A 25748-nucleotide genomic window follows, 5' to 3' on the forward strand; every position below is an offset into this window, starting at 1 on the left:
TTGAAGCGACGCCCCACCCTGCTTCTGCTCTCTCTCCATGGGTCGCACCCACTGCATAACCAGTCCCAATGAGATGAACTGGGTACCTCAGTTGCAAATGCAGAAATCACCCGCCTTCTGCATTGGTCTTGCTAGGAGCTGCAGACCAGAGCTGTTTTTATTTGGCCATCTTGGCCCCTCCCCGTATTTCAAATTTAACATGTTCCAAAACAAATTATTCATTTCCTTCCCCATTCCTCTACAAAATATATTCCTTTTAAAGTTTTACCCATCTCAGTTAATGGCCACTTTACCCAACCTTTCTAGTTACTTTTGCCAGAATCTGTAGAATAAAATTGTTTTCACTTCTTGGCTTAATACCCTTCAACAGCTTCCCATCTCAACCATCAAAAGAGCTTCCCTACACAACTGTCCACTACTCTTCACTGCAGTTACGTCTCTGACCCCCATTTCCTTTTATTCATCTGCTACTGTTCTCCTCTTGCTCTTCCCACACCGGCCTCCATACTGATCCTTGAACTCTTTTTCTTACTCTTCGCCATCTCCTGTCTGTCTGAAATGCTCTTGTCCAAATTAACTCCATGGCCTGCTTCCTCGCTTCTATTAGATCTTTGCTCAAATATTGTATTTCAGAGTGATCTTCTCCGAGCATATTAAACTTGCTGTCTACCTTTCCCACTTAATTTTCTCCAAGTGCTTATCACCATCTAATATTGTATTTTACTTTCTGTCTCTCTTCTCAGACTAGAATGAAAACTCCATGGGGACCAAACTTTTGTCTGTTTTGTTTACCCCTTTATCCTCAGTGCTAGAATAATTATTGGAACATATTACACACTCAAGAAATATTTTCTGAGTCTGGGCACAGTGGCTCATGACTGTAATCCCAGCACTTTGGGTGGCCAAGGTGGGTGGATCACCAGAGGGCAGGAGTTGGAGACCAGCCTGGCCAACATGGTGAAACCCCATCTCTACTAAAAATACAAAAATTAGCTGGGCATGATGGTGGGGGCCTGTAATCCCAGCTACCTGGGAGGCTGAGGAAGGAGAATAGCTTGAACCCAGGAAGCTGAGTTTGCAGTGAGCCGAGACTGTGCCACTGCACTCCATCCTGGGCAACAGAGCAAGACTCCATGTCAAAAAAAAAAAAAGAAATATTTTTTGAATGAATGAATGTTGTAAAAGTAATGTAGGACAGGTGAGCCCCCAAACTGGGGTTTAGCCCAGGAGGGTTCTTGGTTTCACCCAGGAAAGAATTCAAGGGTGAGCTGGAGGTGTTCACTAGAAACTTGTAATGAAGTAGAATTGGACAGCAGCAGCAGAGATACTGCTCTTGTGGAGAAGGGCTATTCCATAGGCAATGTGCCCAGAGGTAGTTTTGAACTTATATTTATACCAATTTTAATCATATACAAATTAAGGGGCAGATTATGCAGAAATTTTTAGGAAAAGCGTGGCAACTCACAGGTTGTTGCCATGAAAAGGGGTGGTAACTTCCAGGTGTTGCCATGGTAATGGTAAACTGACATGGCATGCTGGTGGGCGTGTCTTATGGAAAGCTACTTTGCTTTGGACCTGTTTTAGCTAGTCCTCAGTTTGGTCTGGTGTCCAAGTCCTGCCTCTGGAGTGAAGTACCATCTCTTACCTCAAAAGTAGATAAGTATTGATAAGGTTTGGATTTGTGTGCCAGCCTAAATCTCATGTGAAATTGGAGGAGGGGCCTGGTGGGAGATGATTGGATCATGGGGGCAGATTTTACCCTTGGTGTTCTCCTGATAGTGAGACTATCACTATCAGTGATTGATAGTGAGACTATCACTATCAGTGATTGATAGTGAGACTATCACTATCAGTGATTGATAGTGAGACTATCACTATCAGTGATTGATAGTGAGACTATCACTATCATCAGTGATTGATAGTGAGACTATCACTATCATCAGTGATTGATAGTGAGACTATCACTATCAGTGATTGATAGTGAGACTATCACTATCAGTGATTGATAGTGAGACTATCACTATCAGTGATTGATAGTGAGACTATCACTATCAGTGATTGATAGTGAGACTATCACTATCAGTGATTGATAGTGAGACTATCACTATCAGTGATTGATAGTGAGACTATCACTATCAGTGATTGATAGTGAGACTATCACTATCAGTGATTGATAGTGAGACTATCACTATCAGTGATAATGAGTGAGTTCTCAGAAGATCTAATTGTTTAAAAGTGTGTGGCACTTTCCCCTGCTCGCTCTCTCTCCTGCCACCATGTGAAAAAGGTGTTTGCTTCCCCTTCGTCTTCCATCATGATTGTAAGTTTTCTGAGGCCTCCTAGTCATGCTTCTTGTGAGTCAGAACTGTGAGTCAATTAAACCTCTGCAATTAAACCTGCAGAACTGTGAGTCAATTAAGCCTCTTTTCTTCATAAATTACTCAGTCTCAGGTAGTTCTTTATAACAGTGTGAGAACAAACTAATACAAGTATATAAGTCAGGACAAAGATGGATGGACCAAAATGATAAATAATAATTCTCATGCAGTGGTGCATGCTTGTGGTCCCTACTTGGGAGGCTGAGGCTGGAGGATCCCTTGAGGCCAGGAGTTTGAGGCTGTAGCATGCTATGATAGTGTCTGTGATAGATGCTACATAAACATTCTTATTTAATAGCCATATGCTTATTTTAATGTGTATCAGGAAAAATAAAACAGCATATCACAAATGTGATTTTCTGGATATGACTTATTAGGATGAGGCTAAAGCAGGTAGAGCTGTAGTAATCTGTACGACGCATTAATTACAGAAGAAGACTCAGACCTGCCCATGATTGTTATACACCTGCAGGGACTGAATTTTCTCCTGTAACTGTTCATAAGAATGTATAACTTGGATGATGCTATTCACTAGTATGTTTTTAAATTTTTAATATTTATTTATTTATTTTTAAAAAATACAGATGAGGTTTCACCATGTTGCCCAGGCTGGTCTCAAATTCCTGGACTCAAGCAATCCACCCACCTTGACCTCCAAAAGTGTTGGGATTACAGGCATGAGCCACCGCGCCCAGCCTGGTACGTTCTCATGAACTGAATTTTCAAGCTCATTCCTGCATTATTTTCAGCACTAAATTGAAATATGACTTTGAGAAGCTGACAATTGTTGAGTACTGAAGTATTAAAATGATTGCTTGAAAACACAATCTAGTCACTGTTGTATACACCAGCAAAAAACAAAAACAGAAAATACCTGAGAATGCACTTGAAGTTTGGAGAGAAGTGTTTAAATGGTACTTTTCAAATTGCCAATTGAATTGTAAAAACCACTGAAGACCATTGGCTTCTATGCAGATGGGTCCTCACTCTTTCATTTGAATAGATGGCACCCTAAATCTTTCTGGAGAAAATCCTCATGTTTTAGAATTGTTTGTATGAATAGATTTGCAAACCAGACTATCTTATTGATATCTTTGTTAATTTGGACAACTTACAATCACTATTAGAATGCACACTTACATTATATGTGAAGGCCAAGTGAATGAGAAGATCTGCAAAACAGAATGATGGGTGTGCACCTTGATCATGTGAACTCTATTCTTTTTTGTTCCCCTTTTTTTTAAGAGACAAGGTCTTGCTCTGTCACCTAGGCTGGAGTGCAGTGGCATGATCATAGCTCACTGCAGCCTTTATCTCTTGGGTTCAAGCAATACTCCTGCCTCAGCCTCCTGAGAAGCAGCTAAGACTACAGGTATGTGCCACCATGCCCAGCTAGCAGAGCTCTATTCTTTATCTGAAAAATTCTCTAAAAGTATTTAGGACATTATGAAAGACTTCATAAGATTTTTTCTTATTGATTGGCAAGAGTGAATCAATAAAACCTTATTTACCTTATCATCAGCTATTGTTTATAGCAATTGATACCAATTTTCCATCCAAACAATAATACTAATAAGTAATAATAATGTGTCACTGTTAACAATAACTATTATCATTGCATTTCTGAAATGGCCTTTTTTACTTACAGTCACTGAGGCTCTAGGTCAATTTTGAAGCAGACAGAACAAGCGGGAAGGGGAAGTTAATGGGATAAAATCTTTCTCTCCCCTTCCACTCATAGTTGAATTTGCCTAAGTGAAATCGTACATCAGTAGGCCAGTCAGTAATTCCCTGCAGCTATCTCATATTCTAGAATTGACTAGGAAGAATCCTCTATTTACGTTCCTTTCCTTGAAGTTTTTCTTGTCTTTAATGTGTTCAGTATTTTATAAATTATTTACAAATTATCACATATAATATACTCCTCCTAAAAATAGGAAGTTATAGAAAAGCAAAAGGAAGAAAAAAATCATAATTCCATAATCCAAAGAAAACTACTATTGATAGCTTGTTGTATTTTTTTCTACATATAGTTTTTGTTTGGCTTATAAAGTTGAGCTTCAATGCAGTGGTCTTTCAAATGTTTTCCTTGAGTCTTCTTAAAAGAAGATTTTCAAACTACGTACTCCCTTGCATATTTTAGAATTAAAATACTATATATATATATATTTGTTTTTGTTTTTGTTTTTTTGAGATGGAGTCTCACTCTGTCGCCAGGCTGGAGTGCTGTGGCGCGATCTCGGCTCACTGCAAACTCCGACTCCCTGGTTCAAGCGATTCGTTTGCCTCAGCCTCCTAAGTAGCTGGGATTACAGACATGAGCCAACACGCCTGGCTAATTTTTGTATTTTTAGTAGAGATGGAGTTTCACCATGTTGGCCAGGATGGTCTCGATTTCCTGACCTTGCGATCCACCTGCCTCGGCCAACAAAAGTGCTGGGATTACAGGCGTGAGCCACCATTCCAGGCCCAAAATATTTTTAAAGCTCTAAATAAACTTACTTTCTTTTAAATATAATAGAGTGATTGAACATTTCAAAGACGAAAAAACTAAGACGAGGCTGTTAAAGACACAGATATGCCATGATATGATTTGATAAAATAGCCTTTTACTATCTTATTGAATAAAGTTAACCAAATCTGAAAGAAATCAAGTAAAATTTTACATATAAATTTTATCCAATGTTTAAAAAAAAAAAAGTAATGGTTCATCAAAAATCCCATTTATGGCCTGGCACGATGGCTCACTCCTGTAATCCCAGCACTTTGGGAGGCCGAGGCAGACGGATCACGAAGTCAGGAGATTGAGACCATCCTGGCTAACACGGTGAAACCCATCTCTACTAAAAATATAAAAAATTAGCTGGGCATGGTGGCACATGTGGCACCATGGTGGCACATGTAGCCTGTAGTCCCAGCTACTCAGGAGGCTGAGGCAGGAGAATTGCTTGAACCTGGGAGGTGGAGTTTGCAGTGAGCCGAGATCGCGCCACTGCACTCCAGCCTGGGAGACAGAGAAAGAAAAAAAAATCCCATTTATGTTCAAGAGGATAGCCATAAGTCTCCCATATTCCTTCGATATCCTAGATTCAGAGATCCAAAATGGGCTCAAATATCCCTGAATTGGCTAAAATTCTGAGTATCCCAGCATGGGCTGAAATAGAAATATTTTAGTGAGCTTCACATATATCTATATGACAGGAAAAGGCTTAAAGTCTTGGATGTTTAAAATACCTTGATTAATTATCCAAGGAGCCCTCCCTAAAACCAGTATTTCCATTTATCCATTTGTTTGATATTCTGGAGCTATTTACACCCAAGGCAATGCACTACATGAGATTTGAGATGGAGGGATGCTATTCACTATGAATTTAGAGAATGATTACTGTGAACCCCGGCTCATTTTCAAGGAAATCAGATTTAGGAAAGAGCACATATGGAATTTGAGAATCTGAAAACTGACCTCCTTAAAGGTGTGCACGCAGTCTTCAAGAGCTAGAGTTGTATGTTGAAGGTTTTGAATTTACCTTCACTTACTGGCGTTGTAAAGTCTCTAAGAAGCTCTTAGGAAATAAGTCAACATTGGCTTTTAATGCACACCTCACAGGAAATGGTGATGATTCAATCTTTTTTCTCCAACAAAGCTGAATGAGCCATGAGGTGCTGGACACTGAGAAGAAAAGAGCAGCTGCTACAGATACCATCATTTGGATGAGTCAAAAGATGTATGTGGCCAGGTGTGGTGACTCATGCCTGTAATCCCAGCACTTTGGGAGGCCAAAGTGAGCAGATCACTTGAGATTAGGAGTTTGAGACCAGCCTGGCCAACATGATGAAACACCATCTCTACAAAATATACAAAAATTAGCCAGGCGTGTTGGCAGGTGTGTGTAGTCCCAGCTACTTGGGAGGCTGAGTCAGGAAGATCACTTGAACCCAGGAGGCAGAGGTTGCAGTGACCAGAGATCATGCCACTGCACTCCAGCCTGGGCCACAGAGCAAGACCCTGTCTCAAAAAAAAAAAAAAAAAAAAAAAAAAAAAAGACAGAAAAGAAAAGAAAAAAGAAAAGAAATGTAATCCCCAGTGCTGGAGGTTAGGCCTAGTGGGAGGTGTTTGGATCATGTGGGCGGATCCTGCATGAATGGCTTAGTGCCATCCTCTTGATGATGAGAGCGAGTTCTCGTTCAGAGTTCAGGTGAGATCTGGTTGTTTAAAAGTGTGTGGCACCTCCCCCTGCTCCTCTTGCTCCTGCTCTCTCCATGTGATGCACCTGCTCCTGCTTTGCCTTCTGCCATAATTGTAAACTTACTGAGGCCTCACCAGAAGCCAGGCGGATGTTGGTGCCATGCTTGCACCGGCTATAGAACTGTGAGCCAATTAAGCCTCTTTTCTTTATAAATTACCAAGTCTCAGTTATTCCTGTATGGTAACACAAGAACAGTCTAATACACTCCTAGAATAAAACATAGGGAAAAACCTCTTTGACACTGGTCTGGGTAAAAATATTTTTAGATATGACACTGAAAAAACAAGCAACAAAAGCAAAAATAAATAAGTGGGACTATATCAAACTAAAAAGCTCAGCAAAGAAAACAACCAACAAAATAAAAAGACAACCTACAGAAGGGAAAAAAATATTTGCAAATCATTTATCTGATAAAAGGTTAATATCCAAAATACATAAGGAACTCAAATGACTCAATAGCAAAAACAAAAACAATAAAGGCCAGAAAATCTGATTTAAAAATCAGCTCTTGGGCAGAGCACGGTGACTCACGCCTGTAATCCCAGCACTTTGGGAGGCTGAGATGGGCAGATCACTTGAGGTCAGGAATTCGAGACCAGCCTGGCCAACATGGTGAAACCCTATCTCTACAACAAATACAAAAAACCAGACCGGGTGAGGCGTCTCACGCCTGTAATCCTAGCACTTTGGGAGGCCAAGGCAGGAGGATCACCTGAGGTCAGGAGTTCAAGACTAGCCTGACCAACATGGTGAAACCCCGTCTCTACTAAATACAAAAAAAATTACCGGGGCATGGTGGCACATGTGTAATCCCAGCTACTTGGGAGGCTGAGGCAGGAGAATCACTTGAACCCAGGAGGCAGAGGTTGCAGTGAGCCGAGATTGTGCCATTGCACTCCAGCCTGGGCAACAGAGCAAAACTCTGTCACAAAATAAAATAAAATAAAATAAAATAAAATAAAATAAAATAAAATAAAACAAAAATCAGCTCTTGATTTTCCATAGCCTCCTAACTGGGCTCTTCATCTTCAATCAATTCTCCACACAGTGTTGGAGTCATATGTTGCTTAATGACTGGGATACCTTCTAAGAAATGTGTCATCAGGCGATTCTGGACCTGAATAGATTTTTTTTTCAAGGAAGACGGATAAATGGCCAATAAGTATATGAAGAGGTACTCAACATTACTGATTATCACATAAATACAAATCAAAACTACAATGAGCTGGGCGTGGTGGCTCACTCCTGTAATCCCAGGACTTTGGGATGCCAAGACTGGCAGATTGCTTGAGTTCAGGAGTTCAAGACTAGCTTGGGCAACATGGTGAGAACCCATCTCTACCAAAACTACAAAAAATTAGCTGAGTGTGATGGCATGTGCCTGTGGTGCTAGCTACTCAGGAAGCTGAAATGGGAGGATCACCTGAGCCCAGGAGGCAGAGGTTGCAGTGAGCCGTAATCACGCCGCTGCACTCCAGCCTGTGTGACAGAGCAAGACTCTGTCTCAAAACAAAAACAAAAACAACAACCAAAACCAAAAAACAAAACTACAATTAGATATCACTTCCCACCTTTTGGGGTGCCTATGATAAAAAGACAAGATATAAGTATTGCTGAGGGTACAGAGAAAGGGCAGCCTTGTACACTGCTGTTAGGAATGTAAATTGGTACAGTTATCATGGAAAACAGTGTGAAATAAAAACAATTTTATTTAAAAAATTAAAATAGACCTACCTTAGGATCCAGCAATCCCTCTTCTGGATCTATAGTCCCCCCACAGAATGAAATCAGCACCATGAGAGATATCTGCCTTCCCATGTTCATGAAGCGTTAGTCAAAATAGCCCAAACATGGAAATAACATTTTAAGTGCCTATCAGTGGAATAATTGGTAAAGAATCTGTAGGCTATACAGGAATATTATGCAGCCATAAAAAGGAAGGAAATTCTGCCATTGCGGTAACATAGATGCAACTTGAGGGCATTATGCTAACTGAAATAAGCCAGACAGAGAAAGACAAATACTGCGTGATCTCACTTATATGCAGAATCTGAAATAGTTGAACCCATAAAAACAGATGATAGAATGGTGGTTACCAAGGTTAGAGGGTGGTGGAGGGAAAGGAAGCTATTGGTCGAAGGGCATAAACTTGCAGTTATAAGATGAGTAAGTTCAGGAGATCTGATATACAGTATGGTGACCATAGTTAACAATACTGAATTATACAGCATACTTGAAATTTGCTTGAATGTTCTCTCTGCAAAATAAAGAGTAACTAAATAAGATGAGAGATGTATTAACTAACTTGATTGTATAATAACTTCACAAAATATGTATGTATCAAATCATCATGTTGTATATCATCAAATTGTAGAATTTTATTCATCAATTATATTTCAACAAAGCTGGAAAACTAAAAAAAGAAACAAGTGTATAATTAATAACAATGCTGGTTGTAAATTAAAACTAAGCGTCATATTTTTGGTGTCAAAATGTTTGACATTTTTAAGAAAACATGTATAAGTGTTCTGCCTCTTGGATGAGACCATTTTAAATTAAGCTGTAAAAAAAAAGTACCGACAAAACAGTTCACTTTCAGTAATCTGGATTTCCCCAAATAGTGACACGAGAGCCAGTCATTTCGAATTGGACAGTTTGAGTTCCTCTTCAAGAGTCTGCAATGTAGGTCAGGGCTCTGCTGACATTTCCATTGACCTCAGAAGTGAAAATCTAAAGTGAGTGCTGACAGGCAGGCAGTGAGGAAAGAAGACATGACACAGCCAACAAGGGTGGCAGCCTGGCTCTGAAGTGGAATTATGTGCTTCAAACAGGTTGAAAGGTAAATAGGCAGCGATCATCCAAATACTTAAAGACAGCTATATTTCCTTTTGGAAATACATGGGCCAAGTTGTTTTCTCTTGCAAGTTCTCATGATATTCCATGCAGTGGTTACTGATGAAAAGGGAATCTATAATATTATATGGCATCACATTACTTTAAATAATAATTATTGCATATTTCCATCAGTTAACTTCTAACTAGGAACATTTTTAGGGCTTCTGTTGCTTCTTATGAAGAGAAGAATTACTATTGCTAACAAATAATGAAAGGGATCCCTATATTTCTGAGCCAAGGGGACCCCAGTTTTTTTAAATGTTACTAGATATTTTATGCGATATGATGAGCCATGCATTGCGTTCTCTTGTAGTTTTATAGAAAAAGCTCAGGTTTTATTAAACAGATAAAATAACTGAATAATGTTGATCATTGAGTAAATGAGTTAATTCATGTAACTGATTAATCAAATAGTGTAACTCTAGTTGTAAACTAACAACGGTATTATTAGGAATTTCTATAACGTGTTCCTTTCGCGTTCTCTACAGATGAAAGGCTTTTTCCTCTTTTTTAGGGGGTGCGGGGGACAAGGTCTCACTCTGTCGCCCAGGCTGGAGTGCAATGGTGTGATCATGGTTCACTGCAACCTTCACCTCCCGGGTAGCTGGGATGACCGTCACATGCCACCACACTGGGCTAATTTTTGTATTTTTAGTAGGGACAGGGTTTCACCCTGTTGCCCAGCCTGATCTCGAACTCCTGGGCTCAAGCAATCCACCGGCCTCTGCCTCCCAAAGTGCTGGGATTACAGGCATGAGCCACCACGCCTCCCCAGATGAAACGCTTTTTAGAGTCTCACTGGTGAGAGCACATATTGCTTAATCTCACTTCACTTTTCTTAATTTTGAATCCATTTTCTCTGGGAGTTCTGAAATTTTTGGCTCTTCCCAAGTTTAGCTCATCAAAGACTAGTATTTCTGGAGTGTGATAAGTATGTAACTTTGGCAGGGAGAAGAATTCATCACCAGAAGTTAGCTCAGCCCAGGCACCATGGTTCATGCCTGTAATCCTAGCACTTTGGGAGGTTGAGTTGGGAGGACCGCTTGAGCCCAGGAGTTTGAGGTTACAGTGAGCTATGATAATGCCGCTGCACTCCAGCCTGGGCTACAGAGCCTGGCCCTTGTCTCTAAAAAAATTTAAAACATAAAATAAAAAAAGAAGTTAACTCAGAGGAGGAGGTTTCTGATGAGAAAGGCTAGATTAGGAGGCACTGTAATGGATCAAATGCCCTACTGAGTTAATTCATAGTGACTTTTGAAGAGTATAAAATTCCATTTATTTGCTTTACTTCTCCATCTCTTGTTATATCTCCTAAATATACCAGTAACATTTCTTTGCTCTGTTTCCTTCCTTCCTTTCTTCCTTCCTTCTTTCCTTCTTCCTCCCTAATCAAAGGTTCCCATCAAATACAATAATTCTTAGGGAAAAATGTTATGCTTTTTATTATTTTACTAAAATACTACAATTTAAACATTTTTCATATTTTTTTTCCAGAGGGAAACAGTCTTTTCCTGCTTCCAGACATGAATCAGGTCACTATTCAATGGGATGCAGTAATAGCCCTTTACATACTCTTCAGCTGGTGTCATGGAGGTATGGTGTTTTATGTATCTATTGCTATCTTTCATTCAACAAATGGAATATTGAGTGATTATCATTTTCATGGTTTTATGTTAGAATCTCTGAAGAATACAAATATTATTAGACTAGAAAAAATGTGTGCATAAAAATTACATAGAATGAAATAAAAATGGCCCAATCTCCTTCCAAATGCAGGATTTCTTTCTCAAATTTCCCTTCTAGACAGCCCTCTTACTCACATGTGGATATTTCCACAAAGGAGCTTATTAGTTTGAGTTGGCATGTTCTATTGTCAAACTATTATAACTGTTATATAATTACCTGTCAAACATTTGGATGCAATTCTATTTCACAAACCACTTGTTGATAGTTACTTTGTGCCGGGCACATAGTAACTATGTGGGCCATTGGCAAGAGTATGATTTTATTCATTATATTCAAACTTTACTGAAAAAAGTAGGCTTTATCTAAAAAAGAACAAAAGATTGGTTGAGTAGCTAGAGAATGGGGTTCAGATTCTACAGTGCCTAGTGTTATTTCTAATCTTACCTTTGAAAAATACTGTAGCTTTATAATCTCTCGGTTCTCTACTTTAAAGTAGGAGAGCTAATTATATTTGCTCTTTAGACACTTAGAGAAGCTTCCAGGCTGACTCTAGTCTTGTGTCATGGTGCTGAACATCAATAAAAGCATAACAGAGGCCAGACGAGGTGGCTAATGCCTGTAATCCCAGCACTTTGGGAGGCCGAGGCGGGTGGATCACCTGAGGTCAGGAGTTCAAGATCAGCCTGGCCAACATGGTGAAACGCCATATTAGCCGGGCGTGGTGGTGCTCACCTGTAATCCCAGCTACTCAGGAGGCTAAGGCAGGAGAATCGCTTGAACCTGGAAGGCGGATGTTGCAGTGAGCCGAGATCGCAACACTGCACTGCAGCCTGGGTGACAGAATGAGACTGTCTCAAAAAAAAAAAAAAAAAAAAAAGCCTAACAGAAACACACTGTAATAGGCTAGTTTATGAAAAGATACATCTAGTCCTAAAACTGTTTTCAATGGAATCATTTAGTTAATAGAAATGATAAATTTAAAATGCAATAGCATATTCTTCTGAATCTCTTGATTTAATGTTTTACGTGTAATTTATTATTTTTCCATTTATTTCTAGGAATTACAAATATAAACTGCTCTGGCCACATCTGGGTAGAACCAGCCACAATTTTTAAGATGGGTATGAATATCTCTATATATTGCCAAGCAGCAATTAAGAACTGCCAACCAAGGAAACTTCATTTTTATAAAAATGGCATCAAAGAAAGATTTCAAATCACAAGGATTAATAAAACAACAGCTCGGCTTTGGTATAAAAACTTTCTGGAACCACATGCTTCTATGTACTGCACTGCTGAATGTCCCAAACATTTTCAAGAGACACTGATATGTGGAAAAGACATTTCTTCTGGATGTAAGTGTTGGGGCACATTTGAAATGCAAACAAAAGCTAGTTTAACAATTAACTGGTCATTACCACACTAGTCTAAAAATAGGGACAAAATAATATAGTTCAGTTTTTAGATTAGTTTCATACAGGAGCTGCAAACTCAAATGTCTCCAGGGCCAGGTTGGTGAACTATATGAACTGTAGCCACTGCCCAGATCCAGTAATCACAGGTGCCCGGTATTCCTACATCTTTTGGCTTTTCAAAGGAAGACAGAAACATAAAATTTTAATGTGTACTCTCTAAATTTTAAAATGTTGCCAATACATTCAAAAAACAATTTTTCACCTCTACCCTGAACGAACACTGCATATGTGAGGGCCAGCCCCGTTAGATTTAAAATGTTGCTCTTTTAATCTTCTTGTTTATTTTTCTAAACTAATATAATATAATTAACCTTGAAGCAGATCCCATTGAGAAATTTTGAGGCCAAGGTTTAGGGAGAGTTGCAAAACTAGTTTTGTGCTCCCACTGTACTGCTAGGTTTGTGACCTTGGACAAGTTGCTTAAGCCTCAATTCCTCGCCTGTAAAAGGAGGCTAATTATACAGGCTGTGTTATGCACTTAATTTCAATAATTTATTTGGAAGCATATGATAAAGTTTAAAGTACATCAGTACCCAAATCCTTAAAAATGCATCCTTTTGATAAAACATAGGGAGAGTCTCCTACAGTCCTCTGTTCCTAATCTCACTATTCCAATTTAGAATCACTGTGTTTGTTATTGTAACTATTAATTTTTTTCTTTTTCTTAAAACCCACCTTGAAGGGAATAATTATTAATTTATTTAAAAGCTTAGTCAAGTCAATCTTAAAAATATACGCTAAATTCAATGTGTGCTCTGAGTGTCCTGGAGGTGTTTAAATCACTATAGTGATATGGGCTGGCTCGTATAATTATATACCTAGTTTGGGTTCTACTATTATGAAGGGTGTAAATCAATAAGTTCAGCACTGTTTTAACTCAGATATTCATTCTCTATAGCACTTGAACCCATTTTCAGTAAAAAAATAAAGGAATTTGTGTCTTTGCCATGTTCCCGTCCTCCACATTTTTGAGAATCAAGCCTCAGTTCTTGCTTCTTCTTCACCTTTACAACTTAGCTGGGGGGCAGACCCATATCACCACTACCACCTGACCCCATTGTGGCTGCTTGGAAAGTAAGAGGCTTCCTTGCTCTATAATGAGGCCATTGTCCTACTTAACTCTGAGCAGCTGATCTTGCAAGCTTTTCAAGAGAAGGAACTATAGAAAGTTGTAGAGGTGAGTTGAGGAAGGAAAGTCATAGGTTTTGGAGTCAAAGAATAAATCTACCTTAAACTGATGCCTTAAAGCTGCTAAACTTGCCCTAAATTGTGGAAATTAAACCGCAGGCAGACATCTTATCTGATGTAAGAAATCTTCTTAGCTTGTCCACATCCTCAGGAAACATAACCAAACCTCAATGCCCAAATACTTTACTATTTATCCTTTGGGGGTGGGAGTTGGGTAGAGAGACTATACAATTTCTTTGGAGGGCAAATAAGCAACTTTCACAGTTACAGAAAAAGCTTAGTTGTTAATTTAAGCCAGAGGAAAAAAAAGGAAGCAAAATAAACATTGTCTCTGTTAAAAAACAAAATTTCAGCAAATTTAGTTTTTAGATCTGATAGGTTTTTATGTGTGATTCATGAATCGGCAGCATCTCTTTCTAAAAAACTGATATGTGCTCTGAGTGTCCTGGAGGTGTTTAAGTTACTATAGTGATATGGGCTGGCTTGTATAATTATATACTTAGTTTTGGCTCTACTATTCTAACAGAACAGTTGGTTTTTGTAAGGTAGGAACAAGAAATAGAAATTTTTATAAAAACTACCAGATTGGTTAACATTGTTACTTCAGGTTATTTTCCTTGTAATGGTTAAAGCAGAGGGGATTTCCTTATCATCCCTGCTCAGGTTGACTGGGCTCTTTCTACGTGGTTGCTGTGAATTTTCTGTTTTCAGGAAAAACTAGTCTGTGGGAGTTTTACCTGCTTCCTTAAAGTTTCAGCTTGGTTATATGTCACTTAACAGGAGTGACTTCATTTTGGTTTGGTATGTGGGGGCCTAGTGCAGGAGCTCAGTCCAAAACAATGGTCTCCTATACATTTTATTTAACACCACCTTCCGTGTGTTGCAGTTTGTATAACTGATTACTCCCAAAAGCCCTCCCAAGTGTTGGCTGGGGGGCCTCTGTCCCCAAACCCAACACCAGGCAATGTAGAAGGTAAGAGAATGGACTTTGTTCCTCTTCCAGGACAGCCTAATAGAAATACATTCTCTGCCGATGGCTGCTTAGAAAGAACATCACTCTTTCCACTTATTTAACTTTTGAGTTTGTGAATTGTAACTCCTTACATAGGCCTCTGGTTATGAGTGTAAAAATGTAACTGCCAGGTGAGAATTTACTCAAACCCCTGGATTCAAGCTGAATGTCTTCTTGAGCTCTACATTCTTAGCAAACAAAACTTCCTATTTAAGTAGGTCAAAAAAGGGTTTTTGAGGGTTTTGTGGCATTCTAGAAATCACATTGCTTTCACTGGACCACTTTGATCACAGGATATTTGTCATGTGAGATTTATTATGTCAACTTATCATCACTGCTTTGAACAAAATGATTATATGTATTTTTTTAGACTAGAGACAAATTGTAAAAGACAAGATAAATGAGTCATTGCTTTCCTTGAAAAGCTATCCAAATATATTTTAAAGTGCTGTGCTTTAATGTATAATTTGTGAAATATAAACCATATTATCACAATTTCCATTTTTAGCCACAATCCTAGACACTTCTTAGATTCTTATCTAAGACTAAATGCACACATATTATGGGAAATTTGTTCTAATCAGGCCACACCAATCATGGGATAAAATACAAGATGTCTTTATTCATTTAAAAATACCAAATTAAACCATGCACAGTCATGTTTCCACTTAATCATTTGTTTAAAATTTTAAATATCTTTGACTTTTTAAATTTTAACTTTTGGACTTTATTTACAATGATGAAAGCACATTTGTTATTCAATAAAAGCCTCTGAATATTTGTTTCTAACATTGCTATTAAGTATGATTACGGAACAATTAGGCTGGCCTGTGCCCTGCTTGAGTAAGAAATTATAGAGTGATCTTTGCCAGAAGCATTGCATCTCTCTCCATTTTAATCCTTCATGTTATTATCTTAATCAAGCCAATCAATTCATGGAATAAACTTTATTGAGTGGTTACTATGCACCAAAAATGTGTTAAATGCTAGAAGTACAAAGAAGAGGAAATCACGGACTGTTTTCAAGAAGTTCTCAGTAGAAAGGGATCCTTGGCTAGACTCTGAATTAACAAGAAACCTGGCCTGTGATTCCTGAGTGTCCCAATAATAGGGGAGGGGTGGGATTGGCAAGAAAGAGCAAAAACATAAGCCCCCTTTTGTATACCTCAGAGTATTCTCTAGTATCTAGTTGTATAGCCAGGTTTTGTTCTTGGATATTGAATAACCTGGCAATGAGGCCTAACAACAACTTGATGTTATTATCATAAGCATACTCACAGGCCCATCTTTACATTGCTTCATGTTAACAAACACTTATTTGCATGTGTGTGTATAGTCATCTTTTTGATCTTTTGCAAAGTTAATTGACCACCAGACATTTGTAACCCCAAGAATTCACTTCATGTAGATGCCGTGGAGTAACACAGCCCAAACAATCTGATAGCCAAATCAATGGCACTCTGTATCTGAAACCAGAGGAAAAAATAACTTCAGCACAAATCATTGTAATCAATGAGGGACCACAACTCAAACTCCAAAATGATTTAAATTTATGTTTCCACACCTACTTCATTTAAGGCTCAATTAAAACAAAGATTTATTTTACCCTACTTGGAGCCCAGTTTCTCTCCATTGTAACTCAATGCTACAAGTCGCCAAAATGTTGTAAAGTACTTTTTAGTGTGTTCTTACTGTTTGAATATAGGTTTTTTTAAAAGGATATTAGACCTTCGATATATGAAAATAGTTTTTTAATTATAAAATCAAATTGCATTGAATATAGAGAGTTTTTAAAATGTAGACCAGCAAAAAAGAAATACCTATCATTCCCATAAAACCATAACTTTACTAGTAACCATAATCCCTCTTTAATAATTTGGAATATGTCTTTGAAATTTCAGACCCTCTCTTTCTCAGTCTCTCACTTAAATGAAACCACTAATTGAACCATTTTGCAACCTGCTTTTTTCACTTTGCCATATGATCATGACTTCACTACATATACTTTTAATTCCTTCCAAAGGCCAAGTACTTAAACTGTCTTCTTCAACATTGCTTTTGGATGTGTTTAGGACTGTATTATAGTTTATTTAACCTTATTTTGGAAAATTAAGTTTGTTTACAATTTTTTCATTGTTATGAACAATAAGGGAACATCCTTTAAGCCAAATATTTTATATATCTATGAACATTTCAATAAGGATGCATTCTTAGATGTATAATTGCTGAGTTGCAAAATATTACACCTGCTTTTACAGATTGTGATATGTAAAGTGCTCTCCATAAAGGCTGTACCAATTTGTACTTCCACCAGAAGTGTGTTAGAGGATTTCCATGAGTCCACTCCAACACTGTGTACTATCATTTTTCAAAATCCTTGCTAATTTGATAGGCTTGAATGACATCTAGTATTGCCTTGATTTGCAGTGAGAATAAAATTTTTAATATATTTGTTTATTGTTCTACAAGCAATATTTTTGGTAAGCAATTTGCAGGTGAAGTGAAAGCATATATGTACTTAAGATAAATCTTTGGATGTAACTTCAGACGCATAAATGTCTGTATTTTCATTCTTTATGAGCCCCTATCCTTCCATTTGTCTTGTCATTCTCTGAGCAGTCAAGTGTCCCAGCAGTATTTCACACGTAGGGATGAACTAAGAGAGCCACACCTGAAAAGTGAATATTTAACAAACACTCAATATTTCTATACTTAAAAAAATCTTAATCTTATTCACTATTGAATGATATAACTGAAAATTCTAGGTGTCATTCTATAGTTGTTGGGGTTTCATAGGCTTTAGAGGCCCCCAAAACTCAATGTCATCAGAACTCTCTCATCTTTTCCAGTCTGCTAGGTATTGTTTTCCCCTGTGTTGGCTTCATTCTTAAATAGACTAAAGACTGTGAAAAAGCCTGTTTCACAATGACAGCAAGATGGCCACCAGCAACTTACAGCTCACATGCTACTCAGAGATAGCAGTTTCAGGAGGAAAGAGTGTGCTTCTTTTACAGTGGTTTAGAAAAAGTGCCTTGGAGAATTCTGATTGGTTCATCTTGAGTCATATGTTCATTCCCAAAGGCACACTCCTATTAGTCGGCCTACCTCAGAGGCACACTTCTGTGGAGAGCCTCTTGATTGACAGGTCTTGGGGTTGGGGTGGGGGTGAGATTGGAGTGAGGGGCTGGAGGGGATGTCAGTTCTCAAGAGGGAAAGACGCTAGCCAATGAAAAATAAAAATGTTTGCCATAACATGGCCACCTGGAGAAAGAGCTGGGCAGGAATGGGGGTGGGATGAGTTGAGTGGAGTGACAGGAAAAGAGCCTTGAAATAGAGTTGCATGAATACCAAACTTTAAAAAAACCTTGTTGTGTTGGTGGTAAAATACATAACATAAAATGTACCATTTTTACCATGGTTAAGTGTGCAGTTCAGTGGCACTAAGTACACTTACACTGTTGTACAACCATCACCACCATTTATCTCCAGAACCCTCTTATTGCAAATGGAAAGTCTGCAGCCTTTAAACAAATATCCACTTCCCTCTCCTCCAAGCCCCAGCAACTGCCATTCTACTTTCTACAAGTTTGACTCTTCCAGATACCTTGTGTAAGGGGTCATGCAATGTTTTTCCTTTAGGGTCTGTCTTACTTCGCTTAATATAATGTCTTCAAGTTTCATCCACATTGTAGCATGTGTTAAAATTTCCTTCCTTTTTAAGGCTGAGTAATATCTTATTGCATGTATGAACACCCAACTTTTAAAATGAGTAGTGGAAAATGTGCAAGAGAAGAAGATAGTCTGCCAGAGTAGTAGAAGAAAACTACAAAGAACCCATTCGCAAGAGCCAAAGGCAAAGAGGTTTCTTTTCTTGTCTCGTTTTTGAGACAAGGTCTCACTGTGTCACCCAGGCTGGAGTGCAGTGTCTTGGTCATAGCTCACTGCAGCCTCAAACTCCTAGGCTCCAGGAATCCTTCCAGCCTCAGCCTCCCAAGTAGCTGAGACTACAGATATGAGCCACCACACCCAGCTTTAAAACAGAGAGCTTTCAAGGAGGGAGTGAGCAAAATATCAAATGCTGCTCAATGACATCAAACTCAAACTCAATGACAAATGACCAGAGATGGGGTCTGTTGAAGAGAAAGTCATCAATGACCTTAGCAACAATGGTTTTGGTGGAATTGTGGAGGCTGAATCCTGATTGTTTTGGGTTTAAATGCATATGGGAAATGAAGAATAATAGGCTCTTTAAAAGTGTTTAGCTGTTAAGAAAAAAAGAAAGATACAGGAGTAGCTGGGGGAGACTGAATTTAGGATAATATAGTCAAGTATAAGAAGAAGAGGAATGGATATTTGATGGTAAAGTGGGTTGCAAGGTAAGGTAGTAGGGATGGAATGAGGAGCAGGGAGGTGCTGAGTACTGATTGGCCTGACTTCTCAAATAAAATTGTCAGTTTCTCAACGGACTATAGAGAACTTCATATTTCTTTTTTTTTTATTCTTCCATTACAAATTTATTATCTTTTCAGACAAGTTGAGACATACTAATTTAAAATAAATTCCCTTTTCAGTGAAAAGTTGATAAGTTTAATCAGGTAAAGCTAATGATTAGGTAAGCAATCAATGTTTATAATTGCATCACAACTTTTCTGGCCAGTGACTTTTTATTTATCTATTTAATTTTTTTAAATTATACTTGAAGTTTTAGGGTACATGTGCACAACGTGCAGGCTTGTTTCATACATATACATGTGCCATGTTGGTGTGCTGCACCCATTAACTGATCATTTAACATTAGGTATATCTCCTAATGCTATCCCTCCCCCCTCCTCCCACCACACAACTGGCCCCGGTGTGTGATGTTCCCCTTCCTGTGTCCATGTGTTCTCATTGTTCAGTTCCCACCTATGAGTGAGAACATGTGGTGTGATAGTTTGCTGAGAATGATGGTTTCCAGCTTCATCCATGTCCCTACAAAGGACATGAACTCATCATTTTTTATGGCTGCATAGTATTCCATGCTATATATGTGCCACATTTTTTTAATCCACTCTATCATTGTTGGACATTTGGGTTGGTTCCAAGTCTTTGCTATTGTGAATAGTGCCACAATAAACATACGTGTGCATGTGTCTTTACAGCAGCATGATTTATAATCCTTTGGGTATATACTCAGTAGTGGGATGGCTCAGTCAAATGGTATTTCTAGTTCTAGATCCCTGAGGAATCGCCACACTGACTTCCACAATGGTTGAACTAGTTTACAGTCCCACCAACAGTGTAAAAGTGTTCCTATTTCTCCACATCCTCTCCAGCACCTGTTGTTTCCTGACTTTTTAATGATCACCATTCTACCTGGTGTGAGATGGTATCTCATTGTGGTTTTGATTTGCATTTCTCTGATGGCCAGTGATGATGAGCATTTTTTCATGTGTCTGTTGGCTGCATAAATGTCTTCTTTTGAGAAGTGTCTGTTCATATCTGTTGCCCACTTTTTGATGGGGTTGTTTGTTTTTTTCTTGTAAATTTGTTTGAGTTCTTTGTAGATTCTGGATATTAGCCCTTTGTCAGATGAGTAGATTGCAAAAATTTTCTCCCATTCTGTAGGTTGCCTGTTCACTCTGATGGTAGTTTCTTTTGCTGTGCAGAAGCTCTTTAGTTTAATTAGATCCCATTTGTCAATTTTGGCTTTTGTTGCCATTGTTTTTAGTGTTTTCATCATGAAGTCTTTGCCCATGCCTATGTCCTGAATGGTATTATCTAGGTATTCTTCTAGGGTTTTTATGGTTTTAGGTCTTATGTTTAAGTATTGAATCCATCTTGAGTTAATTTTTGTATAAGGTGCAAGGAAGGGATCCAGTTTCAGCCTTATGCATATGGCTAGCCAGTTTCCCAACACAATTTATTAAATAGGGAATCCTTTCCCTATTGCTCGTTTTTGTCAGGTTTGTCAAAGATCAGATGGTTGTAGATGTGTGGTGTTATTTCTGAGGTCTCTGTTCTGTTCCATTGGTCTATATATCTGTTTTGGTACCAGTATCCTGCTGTTTTTGTTACTGTAGCCTTGTAGTATAGTTTGAAGTCAGGTAGCATGATGCCTCCGGCTTTGTCCTTTTGGCTTAGGATTGACTTGGCGATGCAGGCTTGTGTTTGGTTCCATATGACCTTTAAACTAGTTTTTTCCAATTCTGTGAAGAAAGTCATTGGTAGCTTGATGGGGATGGCATTGAATCTATAAATTACCTTGGGCAGTATGGCCATTTTCACGATATTGATTCTTCCTCCCCATGAGCATGGAATGTTCTTCCATTTGTTTGTGTCCTCTTTTATTTCATTGTACAGTGGTTTGTAGTTCTCTTTGAAGAGGTCCTTCACATCCCTTGTAAGTTGGATTCCTAGGTATTTTATTCTCTTTGAAGCAATTGTGAATGGGAGTTCACTTTTGATTTGGCTCTCCATTTGTCTGTTATTGGTGTATAAGAATGCTTGTGATTTTTGCACATTGATTTTGTATCCTGAGACTTTGCTAAAGTTGCCTATCAGCTTAAGGAGATTTTGGGCTGAGACGATGGGGTTTTCTAGATATACAATCATGTCATCTGCAAACAGGGACAATTTGACTTCCTCTTTTCCTAATTGAATACCCTTTATTTCCTTCACCTGCCTGATTGCCCTGGCCAGAACTTCCAACACTATGTTGAATAGGAGTGGTGAGAGAGGGCATCCCCATCTTGTGCCAGTTTTCAAAGGGAATGCTTCCAGTTTTTGCCCATTCAGATGATATTGGCTGTGGGTTTGTCATAGATAGCTCTTATTATTTTGAGATACGTCCCACTAATACCTAATTTATTGAGAGTTTTTAGCATGAAGCTTGTTGAATTTTGTCAAAGGCCTTTTCTGCAGCTATTGAGACAATCATGTGGTTTTTGTCATTGGTTCTGTTGATATGCTGGATTACGTTTATTGATTTGCATATGTTGAACCAGCCTTGCCTCCCAGGGAGGAAGCCCACTTGATCATGGTGGATAAGCTTTTTGATGTGCTGTTGGATTCGGTTTGCCAGTATTTTATTGAGGATTTTTGCATCGATGTTCATCAGAGATATTGGTCTAAAATTCTCTTTTTTGGTTGTGTCTCTGCCAGGCTTTGGTATCAGGAAGATGCTGGCCTCATAAAATGAGTTAGGGAGGATTCCCTCTTTTTCTATTGATTGGAATAGTTTCAGAAGGAATGGTACCAGCTTCTTCTTGTACCTCTGGTAGAATTTGTCTGTGAATCCATCTGGTCCTGGACTTTTTTTGGTTGGTAGGCTATTAATTATTGCCTCAATTTCAGAGCCTATTATTGGCCTATTCAGAGATTCAACTTCTTCCTGGTTTAGTCTTGGGAGGGTGTATGCGTCCAGGAATTTATCCATTTCTTCTAGACTTTCTAGTTTATTTGCATCAAGGTGTTTATAGTATTCTCTGATGGTAGTTTGTATTTCTGTGGGATCGGTGGTGATATCCCCTGTATCATTTTTTATTGCATCTGTTTGATGCTTCTCTCTTTTCTTCTTTATTAGTCTTGCTAGTGGTCTATCAATTTTGTTGATTTTTTCAAAAAAAACAGCTCCTGGATTCATTGATTTTTTGAAGGGTTTTTTGTGTCTCTATTTCCTTCAGTTCTGCTCTGATCTTAGTTATTTCTTGCCTTCTGCTAGCTTTTGAATGTGTTTGATCTTGCTTCTCCAGTTCTTTTAATTGTGATGTTAGGTTGTCAATTTTAGATCTTTCCTGCTTTCTCTTGTGGGCATTTAGTGCTATAAATTTCCCTCTACACACTGCTTTAAATGTGTCCCAGAGATTCGGGTATGTTGTGTCTTTGTTCTCGTTGGTTTCAAAGAACATCTTTATTTCTGCCTTCATTTCGTTATGTACCTAGTAGTCATTCAGGAGCAGGTTGTTCAGTTTCCATGTAGTTGAGCAGTTTTGAGTGAGTTTCTTAATCCTGAGTCCTAGTTTGATTGCACTGTGGTCTGAGAGACAGTTTGTTAGAATTTCTGTTTTTTTACATTTGCTGAGGAGTACTTTACTTCCGACTATGTGGTCAATTTGGAAGAGGTGTGGTGTGGTGCTGAGAAGAATATATATTCTGTGGATTTAGGGTGGAGAGTTCTGTAGATGTCTATTAGGTCTGCTTGGTGCAGAGCTGAGTTCAATTCCTGGATATCATTGTTAACTTTCTGTCTCGTTGATCTGTCTAATGTTGACAGTGGGGTGTTAAAGTCTCCCATTATTATTGTGTGGGGAGTCTAAGTCTCTTTGTAGGTCTCTAAGGACTTGCTTTATGAATCTGGGTGCTCCTGTATTGGGTGCATATATATTTAGGATAGTTAGCTCTTCTTGTTGAATTGATCCCTTTACCATTATGTAATGGCCTTTTTTGTCTCTTTTGATCTTTGTTGGTTTAAAGTCTGTTTTATCAGAGACTAGGATTGCAACCCCTGCCTTTTTTTGTTTTCCATTTGCTTGGTAGATCTTCCTCCATCCCTTTATTTTGAGCCTATGTGTGTCTCTGCACGTGAGATGGGTTTCCTGAATACAGCACGCTGATGGGTCTTGACTCTTTATCCAATTTGCCAGTCTGTGTCTTTCAATTGGAGCATTTAGCCCATTTACATTTAAGGTTAATATTGTTATGTGTGAATTTGATCCTGTCATTATGATGTTAGCTGGTTATTTTGCTCATTAGTTGATACAGTTTCTTCCTAGCCTCGATGGTCTTTACAATTTGGCACGTTTTTGCAGTGGCTGGTACTGGTTTTTCCTTTCCATGTTTATTGCTTCCTTCAGGAGCTCTTTTAGGGCAGGCCTGGTGGTGACAAAATCTCTCAGCATTTGCTTGTCTGTAAAGTATTTTATTTCTCCTTCACTTATGAAGCTTAGTTTGGCTGGATATGAAAATCTGAGTTGAAAATTCTTTTCTTTAAGAATGCTGAATATTGACCTCCACTCTCTTCTGGCTTTTAGAGTTTCTGCTGAGAGATCCGCTGTTAGTCTGATGGGCTTCCCTTTGTGGGTAACCCGACCTTTCTCTCTGGCTGTGCTTAACATTTTTTCCTTCATTTCAACTTTGGTGAATCTGACAATCATGTGTCTTGGAGTTGGTCTTCTCGAGGAGTATCTTTGTGGCGTTCTCTGTATTTCCTGAATCTGAATGTTGGCCTGCCTTGCTAGATTTGGGAAGTTCTCCTGGATCCTACTCTGGGGAAGTATCCTGCAGAGTGTTTTCCAGCTTGGTTCCATTCTCCCTGTCACTTTCAGGTACACCAATCAGACATAGATTTGGTCTTTTCACATAGTCCCGTATTTCTTGGAGGCTTTGTTCATTTCTTTTTATTCTTTTTCCTCTAAACTTCTCTTCTCACTTCATTTCATTCATTTGATATTCCATCACTGATACCCTGTCTTCCAGTTGATCGAATTGGCTGCTGAGGCTTGTGCATTCATCATGTAGTTCTCGTGCCATGGTTTTCAGCTCCATCAGGTCCTTTAAGGACTTCTCTGCATTGGTTATTCTAGTTAGCCATCCGTCTAATCTTTTTTCAAGGTTTTTAACTTCTTTGCCATGGGTTCAAACTTCCTCCTTTAGCTCGGAGAAGTTTGATCTTCTGAAGCCTTCTTCTCTCAACTTGTCAAAGTCATTCTCCATCCAGCTTTGTTCCATTGCTGGTGAGGAGCTGCATTCCTTTGGAGGAGGAGAGGCGCTCTGATTTTTAGAATTTTCAGTTTTTCTGCTCTGTTCTTTCCCCATCTTTGTGGTTTTATCTATCTTTGGTCTTTGATGATGGTGATGTACAGATGGGGTTTTGGTGTGGATGTCCTTTCTGTTTGTTAGTTTTCCTTCTAACAGTCAGGAACCTCAGCTGCAGGTCTGTTGGAGTTTGCTGGAGGTCCATTCCAGCCCTGTTTGCCTGGGTATCAGCAGTGGAGGCTGCAGAACAGCGAATATTGGTGAACAGCAAATGTTGCTGCCTGATTGTTCCTCTGGAAGTTTTGTCTCAGAGGAGTACCTGGCCATGTGACGTGTCAGTCTGCCCCTACTGGGGGGTGCCTCCCAGTTAGGCTACTCAGAGGTCAGGGACCCACTTGAGGAGGCAGTCTGTCCATTCTCAGATCTCAAGCTGTGTGCTGGGAGAACCACTACTCTCTTCAAAGCTGTCAGACGGGGACATTTAAGTCTGCAGAGGTTTCTGCTGCCTTTTGTTTAGCTATGCCCTGCCCCCGGAGGTGGAGTCTACAGAGGCAGGCAGTCAGGCCTCCTTGAGCTGCAGTGGGCTCCACCCAGTTCGAGCTTCCCAGCCACTTTGTTTACCTACTCAAGCCTCAGCAATGGCGGGCACCCCTCTCCCAGCCTCGCTGCCACCTTGCAGTTTGATCTCAGACTGCTGTGCTAGCAATGAGTGAGGCTTGATGGGCATAGGACCCTCTGAGCCAGGCATGGGATATAAGCTCCTGGTGTGCCATTTGCTGAGACTGTCGGAAAAGTGCAGTATTAGGGTGGGAGTGACCCTATTTTCCAGGTGCCATCTGTCACCCCTTTCCTTGGCTAGGAAAGGGAATTCCCTGACCCCTTGCACTTCCCGGGTGAGGCAATGCCTCGCCCTGCTTCGGCTCACACTCTGTGCACTGCACCCACTGTCCCGCACCCACTGTCTGATAAACCCCAGTGAGATGAACCCGGTACCTCAGTTGGAAATGAAGAAATCGTTCGTCTTCTGCATCATTCACGCTGGGAGCTGTAGACTGGAGCTGTTCCTATTCAGCCATCTTGGCTTGGGACCAGAGAACTTCGTATTTCTTACAGCACCTCCTAAGTGTTATGT

General features: G+C 39.2%; 1 protein-coding gene across 4 annotated transcripts in view, besides 1 other annotated feature; it reads left to right on the plus strand.

Annotated features, from left to right (window-relative positions):
* The window catches only part of IL23R (interleukin 23 receptor), a 127267-nt gene that overhangs the window by 18441 nt on the left and 83078 nt on the right, over nt 1–25748 (plus strand). For 2 of the 4 annotated variants that reach the window (XM_047447227.1, NM_144701.3), the window contains exons 1-3: nt 9377–9464; nt 11015–11113; nt 12265–12561. In XM_047447227.1, coding sequence (XP_047303183.1) covers nt 11044–11113; nt 12265–12561 — 367 coding nt within the window. In that variant the 5' untranslated portion in view covers nt 9377–9464; nt 11015–11043. Of the gene's footprint in view, nt 1–3709; nt 3751–9376; nt 9465–11014; nt 11114–12264; nt 12562–25748 lie in introns of those variants that run through there. The other 2 variants (XM_011540791.4, XM_011540790.4) reach the window with 2 other exon arrangements.
* Nucleotides 9129–9318: an enhancer, noted in NCBI's record as "active region_1169". NCBI's record gives its function as "activates an Ori minimal core promoter by ATAC-STARR-seq in GM12878 lymphoblastoid cells {active_cell/tissue: GM12878}" and the evidence as "EXISTENCE:reporter gene assay evidence [ECO:0000049][PMID:35858748]".

Source organism: Homo sapiens, chromosome 1 (assembly GCF_000001405.40).
Source record: "Homo sapiens chromosome 1, GRCh38.p14 Primary Assembly".
Classification (NCBI taxonomy): Eukaryota; Metazoa; Chordata; class Mammalia; order Primates; family Hominidae; genus Homo; species Homo sapiens.